We start from the raw sequence: 8,519 nt of genomic DNA, 5'->3' as shown, positions 1-8,519 counted from the left end.
ACCAGTCTGATGATTTTCATTCTCTTGACAGTGACTCATTTATTCATAAGCTTGGGACTCACACATCACCAATGAGAACTGAGAGGATGTCTTACGTTTCCTTCCATCTACAGGGCAGGTGCAGAGGATCCAGCATGTTATTCTGAAACCCCAGAAGACGCTGCAGCTACCAAATAGAAGGAGCCTGGATCCCTGAATGTCTTCATGGAACAGAACATTCTCCTCACTCCAGTCTGTTTGAACCAGAATATGACCTGAGCAAGAAATAAGCCTTAATTATATTTGACCATAGAATTCTGGTGATATTTCTATGGCTGTAAGTCCATGTTGATTAATACAAAGGGATGCTGTAAAGCCTCTTCTATTAAAAAAAGTTGCCCAAGGAGTGAAAGGAGAGATATTTTCTGTAATTAAGATTTTCATAATACATAGAACAGGCTATAGCACCTGGCAATCAATCATATGGGGTACAACAGAAAGAGGAAACATTCCTGCTATTAAATTAACCAAACTGGAGTTCTTGTTATATAATATAGTAAAATTTCCTCAATCTTTCAGCCACCTTTAGTTCTGTAATCTATTATTTCTGGGTAAAAGCATACCATTTGATACACAATCCAAACCCAATTCTTAATTAATAACGTGTATCCACTGTATCTTACCACATCCCAAATCATCTAATACTTAACCACCTAGTTTCTATGTTCCACTTACATCAAACATATTCATGTTTGGAAAATTGAGCCAGCATCTACTGCCTTATCAGCTGATGCATAACAATTTACTTTGTCTGTGCTCTATAATAATGCAAGTCTGCTTGGAAAGATAACACGTTAAAGGGTTATCAGACCCTAACACCTTCGTATAGATGAATTTATCAGATCCTCTGCTAAACCACTTTCGAATCCTTGGCCAGTTCTCTACATTTCATGAAGAGTTAGCATAGCCAGTCCAGGAGATATTATCTTCAGGATGTGGTCAGTTGTGGAAAGGAAGATAGCTCTGAGGATCTCTTTCCAGGGAAAAGAAAGACATGAGGATTGCTCCAAAGATCCTCTTTCTGGGGGAAAACGCACATACTACAGAAAGGCTACAGAAAAAAAAGCACTCCCTCAGCAACATATTCACAATCTATTTTGTTGGAATTACAGGCCAATCCTTTTCAGACAGTTGAGTCCAGAGAGGACTGGGAGACTGCCTGACCCCATGGGGTGCTTGACAAGGTCAGATTCCAGGGCCTGGTAGGCTGTTAAAACCAAAGGGGGCCAGTGCTCATGGACAGTGAGTTAAGAGGCTCCTGACACTGGGGGTCCTTTCAGAGCACATACAGAAGGAGGAGTGTCCTTCTGTTACACAACCTGAATTACTGGAGAAGGGCCCGCTGGTGTCGTTCTCCTCAATACAATGCACCTCCTACAATGCACCTCCACTTCTGGGAGAGGGGAAGGGGGAAAAAGAGACAGAGAAGGAGGGAGAGAGAGAGAGAAAGAGAGCGCTGTCTCCCTCCCTTCCTTCTTCCTTCCCTTCTCTCTTTCCCTTCCTCTTATCTCTCTGTGGATCTCTTTCAAGTATTCCTAGAAGAATCTGGAGCTAAAATGAGCCTGCGTCTGAATTTTACTCCTGGCTCTGCAACTGATAAGCTATGTAATCAAGTCCCTTCCCTGCTTCTTTCTTTCTCACACACACACACACACACACACACACAGTCTCTCATCAAATGCTTTGTGGGTTCTTACTCTGACAAGCCAGGCATTGTGCTAGTTACAGGAGATAATCTGAAAGAAAATAGCTCCTTCTTATAAAATGATGATAGACCAGGTGATCTCACAGGTATATGTTGATGATGGCTAGTTTAGTCTTGCTAGCTCTGCTCATGCACCTCCCTCCTTCAATCATGTACCTCCCTCCTTCAAATCAATATCCTCACCTGCTTTCCCAAAGCCCTCTTGCTATTCCTTCTCCCTCTGAGGTACCATTTTTAGCCTAGTATCAAAAGGCACCACAGCTCTTTCCGTCCCCCACGCCACCCATCCTCTTCCCCAGCATCAACACCAAGCTGCCCTGAATGCTATGCTTTCACTCTTTCCATCAGCATGCAGTTACTAATCCCTTAATGTGACCGGAGCAGAAGTCTAAATAACTGCTCCATAATCCCCTAGTATTTGAGCATCCAAAATAACATTTGCATTTTCATCAGGGTCTTAAATGGTCTGGTGGCTTTCTTTTTATAAATTAGTAATTTAAGTATTTATTTTTTAAAAATTCAAACACAGATATAGATATGTTTATGTAGGACTACATAAAGATTTATAATTTTATAGAATTACATAAACGTGATTATATTATATATAGCTTTTCATTTTCTTTCTCTCTCTCTTTCTTTTCTTTGTATCTTCTTCCTCTCTCCAACCTCCTCCATACTAATAATTCTCAGCCACAAATCCTCCACAAAACCATGGAACCCATGTTAACCTTTTATGTATCCTTCCATATTTTTCTCTATTTGTCTAGACTCACACCAGTGTCTAATGACATATGTGAAGGGATGTTCTTGGAGTACTCTTGTTCGTGGCAAAGAATGATTGAATGAATTCTGGTACAATAATATATTTCAGTTAGGCTAGGCTGCTTGTTGATATGGAATAAACAACTCCAAAAGCTTAATAACTTAAAACAATAACAATGGATTGATTGCTCATACTATATGTCCAAGTCAAGCCAGTAAAGGACTCTATTCCTCAGGGTCATTCAGGGACCCAGGCTGATGGAACAACTATTACCTTAAATATTTCCAGTTGCTGTGCCATGGGGAAATGAGTTCTGGAGGGTCTCGAACCAGGTGATTAAATGCTTCAAGGCAGAAGTCATAATTCCTTGGCTATGACTAGTCACATGGCCCCATTCAGCCAAAGGTGAGCCAGGAAGTGCAATTCTACCATGTGTCTGGAAGAGAAGAAAAAAAAAAAAGTATTGGTGAATAGCACTAACAACCACTACACACCCTGCACTGTATCTTGTATCTATTAATAAAGAGGAAAGAATAATAGCATGTCAAGCAACTTAGAGGGATTCTACAAGGAATTGTTGAGTGAGAAGATACAGATAAATGAGTAAAAGGAATTGCATTTTTTGAAATGATGGCTCAAAAATCTCTACATATGGATTTGCAAGTGTTTACAGGAATATATATATATATATATATATATATATATATATATATATGCTATAGATATATACGCTTACCTAGTTATTATCATACATTCTTACACCATAATTACCCTGGGGCCCTTGTTAAATGTTAGAATTCCCGGCCCCCAACCCCAATCTAGTGAATCCAATCTGTTCTGTGCATTAGTGAGAGAGCCAGGGCCTGATACCCAAGGCTGAGTCCTTTATTCCACCACATGTAGCCCTCACCATAGTGATCCACTGATTCCTAACAACTTCCTAAAGAAAAATATTGATTCATTGATTTATCCATTTGTCCATCCTTTTATCTACCAAATATTTACGGAGACTCGACTATCTGCAGGGACATTGCTAGATGCTAGGGATGCAGTAGGGGACAAAGCAAACTTGGTCCTGTTTTGATCTTACAGTCTAGGGTAGGAAAAACATTTAAAAAGAGGACACCACATTAATTCACATGTATGTACAAATTGTGATAATGCCTAGGTAGGAAGAGAGTGTCGTGGACAAATATAGTAGAGGGACAACATTTAAATTGGGGAGCTAATGATGATGACTCAGAGCAAAGGCTAAGTAGAGAACTATCGGGGTGGTGACCCTATAGGCAAGGGACACAGAGCTGAGCATAGAGCAGTCTAGGCAGGGGCGCTACCTGTGGGGAGGGCCACAGAAGGGAATAACAGCAGGCAAGTGTGCCTGGAAGACAATGACCTTGGAAACAGTGGTGAGAGATGGCACCAGACCATGCAGGGCCCTGTAGAATGCGGTGACAAGTCTAGGCTTTAAGTGCAGTGGGAACTGTAGTAGTTAGAAGCAAGCAGGTCAGAAAGACTTGATATATGTTGTCTTTTTACAGCAACTTTAGTGAGTTATAGCTTACATACAATAAAATGCACACACTTCAGATGTTCATTTTGATGAGTACATAATACAAATATATATTCAGATATATGTATATATGTGTATACTCACATAAATGTATATATCTTTACATCCACCACTACAATCAAGATATATAAAATATCAGGGCTGGGTACAGTGGCTCACCTCTGTAATCCTAACACTTTGGGAGATCGAGGTAGGAGGATTGCTTGATCCTAGGAGTTTGAGGCCAGACTCAGCAATACAGTGAGACCTTGTCTCTATTAAAAATAAAAATAAATTTTAAAAAAGTGTAGGATATTTTTATTATCTCAAAATGTTTTCTTGTGCCTTTACACAATCAGTTTCCACTCCTGGCTCTAGACAACACTGATCTGTTTGCTGTGACTTTATTTTTATGTTCCAGGGTATATGTGCAGGATGTGCAGGTTTGTTACATAGGTAAACATGATGTGCCACTGTGGTTTGCTGCACTTATCAACACATCACCTAGCTATTAAGCCCAGTATACGTTAGCTATTTTTTTCTAATCCTCTCTCTCCCCTCCCTCTGCCCCCCAACAAACCTCAGTGTGTGTTGTTCCCCTCCCTGTGTCCATGTGTTCTCATTGTTCAGCTCCCACTTATAAGTGAGAACATGTGGTGTATGGTTTTCTGTTCCTGCATTTAGTTTGCTGAGGATAATGGCTTCCAGCTCCATCCACATGCCTGCAAAGAATATGATCTCATTGCTTTTCATGGCTTCATAGTATTCCATGTGTATGTGTACCACAGAGTGGGAGAAAATTTTTGCAATCTATCAGACAAAGATCTAATATCCAGAATCTACAAGGAAGTTAAACAAATTTACAAGAACAAAAAAACAGTCCCATCAAAAAGTGGGCAAAGGACATGAACAGAAACTTCTCAAAAGAAGACATTCATGCAGCCAACAAACATGAAAAAAAGCTCAACATCACTGATCATTAGAGAAATGCAAATCAAAGCCACAATAAATTACCATCTCACGCCAGACATAATGGCCATTACTAAAAAGTCAAGAAGCAACAGATGCTGGTGAGGTTGCAGAGAAATAAGAATGCTTTTACATTATTGCTGGGAATGTAAATTAGTTCAACCATTGTGGAAGACAGTATGGCGATTCCTCAAACATCTAGAAACAGGAATAACATTTGATCCAGCAATCCCATTCCTGGGTATATACCCAAAGAAATAGAAATCATTCTATTACAAAGATACATGCACATGTATGTTCATTGCAGCACTATTTATAATTGCTGTAATGGTTGATCAGTCTTTTCTAGAGATTGATATGAACAGAACCTTATGATGTGTACTGTTTTATGCCTGGCTTATTTCACACAGCAGAATGTGGTGTGAGTAATCCACATTGCTGAATGCATCATGAGCTCATCTTTCTAAATTGCTAAGGAGTATGACATTACAAACCTATGTTTGTAATTTAAAAAGATGATTCCTGACATGGCTGAATTTAAGTCAAGCTGTGAAGCTCCAGGTTACAGCTTGTTTATTCATTCACCTGTTGATTGACATGTGTTTGAAGCTATTATGACACAGCAGTTTGGAGCTATGGTGTGCTTTGTACTTCCTGTCTAAGTCTTTGTGGGGACATTTGTTTTCCTTTTACTTTGCTAAATACTTAAGTGTCCAGTTGGCATCTCATATGGTAAATTTATGTTTAACCTTATTAGAAACTCTCAAACTGTTTTCAAAAGTAGTTGTACCATTTTACATTCATAGCAGCATCATTTGTGTGATTATTGCTCCGGATACTAAGTAATACTAAGGATGATTAGTCTTTTTAACTATTCCAGGGTGTGTGTAATAGTATCCATAGTTTTAATTGACACTTCTTCTGATGAACTAATGATGTTGAGCATCTTTTCATGGGCTTATACAGCATTTCTATATCCTCTTTTGGGAGGTGTCTGTGAAATCATGTGCTAATATTTTTATTAAGTTGTCTTATTAAGTTGTAAGAGTTCTTTATATATTTCAGATATAAGTTGTCAGATATATGTAATATAAATATCTTCTTCTGATCTGCAGCTTGTCTTTTCATAATGGTAGTTTTCAAAGAGCAGAAGTTCTAAATTTTGATAAAGTTCAATTTATCACAGTTTTTTGTGAACAGTTTATGCTCTTTGTGTCCTAAGAAATATCTGCCTAACTCAAGATTGTGAAGGTTTTCTCCCACAGCTTTTTCTAAAAGTCTACAGTTGGCTTTCATATTTAGGTTTAAATCCACTTCAAGTCAAATTTTCAGTGTGGTGAGGATAAAGTAAGGATAAAGTTTCTTGGTTCTTTTTTTTTTTCTTTTCTGCATGGACTTTTAGTTGTTCCAGCACAGTTTGTTGAAAAGATTTTCCTTTCATTCATCAAATTGTCTTGCCTCCTCTGTTGAGAATAAATTAGACATACATGTATGGGTCTATTTCTTGACTCTCTATTCTGCCTCATTGATATATAAGTCAACCCTATGCCAGCGCTATGCAGTCTTGAGTAAAATAGCTCTTCAGTAGGTCTTAAAATCAGCGAGGGTGGGTTCTCCAACCCAGTTCTTTTTCAAAATCATTTGGGCTATTTTAGATGTTTTGCATTGCTATACACATTTTAGTACCAGCTTGTCAAATTCTATTTTTAAAAAAAGTCTGCTTGAATTTTGACTGTGATTGTGTGGAATCCATAGACAAATTTGAGAGAATTTACATCTTAGCCATACTGGTCTTTCAATCTTGGAACGATACGTAGTTGCTCTTGATGGTTTTAAAGAGATTGCCCTTCTGCCCATGCTTATGGCCCACGGTACCTCAAACAACAGGAATGGCTTATGTCTTGGAGGTTCAGAGGAGTCCGTGGTTATTGATTCTGCAGTACTCCTGGGCACATCACACACGAAAGTTTCCTCCTCTCCCAGATAGGGTAGTGGACCTTGCCCATCCAGACCACTTTGCTTCTTACTCTAAACCCCAGCCTCACCTTTAAGGGAAAGTGGAATTATGAGTCTGAGACCGGGGCAGCAGTCTTGGAAGGACAAATTTAGAGAAGGCCCAATGGCAAGATCTTCCAGAGTGTACCACAGGTGCAGTGTGCATAACAGCGGAAAAAATGGAGCTTCCCTGTCAGGAAACTGCATGCATATCCAGGCTCTGCACTTCCCAGGCAGAGTGGTCTTCAACAACCCCGAGCCTGTTTCCTTATCTTTCCAAAGGAACATCTTAGCCAAGCGTGGTCGTGTGTGCCTGTAATCCCAGCTACTGGGGAGGCTGAGGCGGGAGGACAGCTTGAACCCGGGAGACAGAGGTTACAGTCAGCTGAGATCACGTCACTGCACTCTAGCCTGGGCGACAGAGCGAGATCCTGTCTTAAAAATAATAATAATACTAAAAAGGAAATAAACATCTCTAGCTTTCAGTCACTATGGGGAATAAATAAGGTGGCAGAGGTAGGGAGGAAGCTGAGGCTGGGGGAAAGTTAGGTGCAGAAAGCAAAGGCGGGAACAGGAGACAGACAACCTCCTCTCAGCCAGAAACACAAAGGACAGCATCGACAGCCTGGACTAGAACCACACAGAAAGGAATGGGTGAGGAAATGACAGCTTCCCTCCCTCCTGAGCCCCCTGGCTCTGTGTGCTTCCCCTGCACTTTTCTTCTGCCCATCTGCTGTGGAGGAGCCCCATCCTGGGCCTTACTGGGGGCGACGCTGTACAGAGTATGGACAGACAGGGACAATGCCCATGACCAACTCAGATTTCACCCAGGTCTTCCCAGCTACCAGCGTCCTCTCCCACCAACCACCCTCTTCAGTGCCCAGGGACTCAGCATGACACAGCTGGACATTGCCAACCCCATCTGAGAACGTCCATGAGCTTTTCCTTATCATGTCCTCAGCTAGGCTTATGTGTGCATGTGTCTTCCACATGAAGAAAGGAGAGTTCCTTCTCTTTGTCTTCAAACTTGTCTGGCTTTGTGCAGCCCCAGAACTGTGGGATGTGGTGCTGGGTGCGAGGCCTCTCTCTCAGGCTGTGATGGAGAGGCTAGGTTTCCACCTGGTAGAGATGGGGAATTTCCCACAAGCCTGGAGTCAGGGTAACTCATGATTCTTGCATGGGGACGAGACTCAGCCTACTGTCTGGGAAGGGCTGGCAGAGTTAGACCTGGGTGATTTGGGGTGGCAGCCAGGCTGGACACATTCATGTTACTTTAAGGATTTTTCTCTTCCATACAAGGGACCTACCCAGGATTCCTTCCCCTCCATGACTCCTCCAGATGAGGATTCCATTGACTAGACATTTATTTTTCATAGCCCTTTATAGGAATGACATCAAGTGGATGGGACCACACAGGAAAGCCACCTGATGAAGATGGGAGGGGTGTTGGAGGAGAATGAGCGGCTCATCTAGGTCTACTCCCCAGAACCAGGACAGTG

The 8,519-nt window shown here is 41.1% G+C and overlaps 2 long non-coding RNA genes across 2 annotated transcripts in view; one reads left to right on the top strand and one right to left on the bottom strand.

Moving 5' to 3' along the window:
• Positions 1 to 385, top strand: part of LOC105379316 (uncharacterized) — a 36,228-nt gene extending 35,843 nt beyond the window's left edge. Inside the window, exon 4 of the long non-coding RNA XR_007060845.1 lies at positions 114 to 385. This is a non-coding gene — a long non-coding RNA (uncharacterized LOC105379316). The remainder of the gene's footprint in view (positions 1 to 113) is intronic.
• Positions 386 to 4,732: 4,347 nt separating this feature from the next.
• The window catches only part of LOC105379315 (uncharacterized), a 283,462-nt gene continuing 279,675 nt past the window's right edge, over positions 4,733 to 8,519 (bottom strand). Inside the window, exon 7 of the long non-coding RNA XR_949569.4 lies at positions 4,733 to 7,070. This is a non-coding gene — a long non-coding RNA (uncharacterized LOC105379315). The remainder of the gene's footprint in view (positions 7,071 to 8,519) is intronic.

The sequence above is a fragment of the Homo sapiens genome, chromosome 8 (assembly GCF_000001405.40).
Source record: "Homo sapiens chromosome 8, GRCh38.p14 Primary Assembly".
Classification (NCBI taxonomy): domain Eukaryota; kingdom Metazoa; phylum Chordata; class Mammalia; order Primates; family Hominidae; genus Homo; species Homo sapiens.
This window is presented reverse-complemented; position numbering and strand designations above follow the sequence as displayed.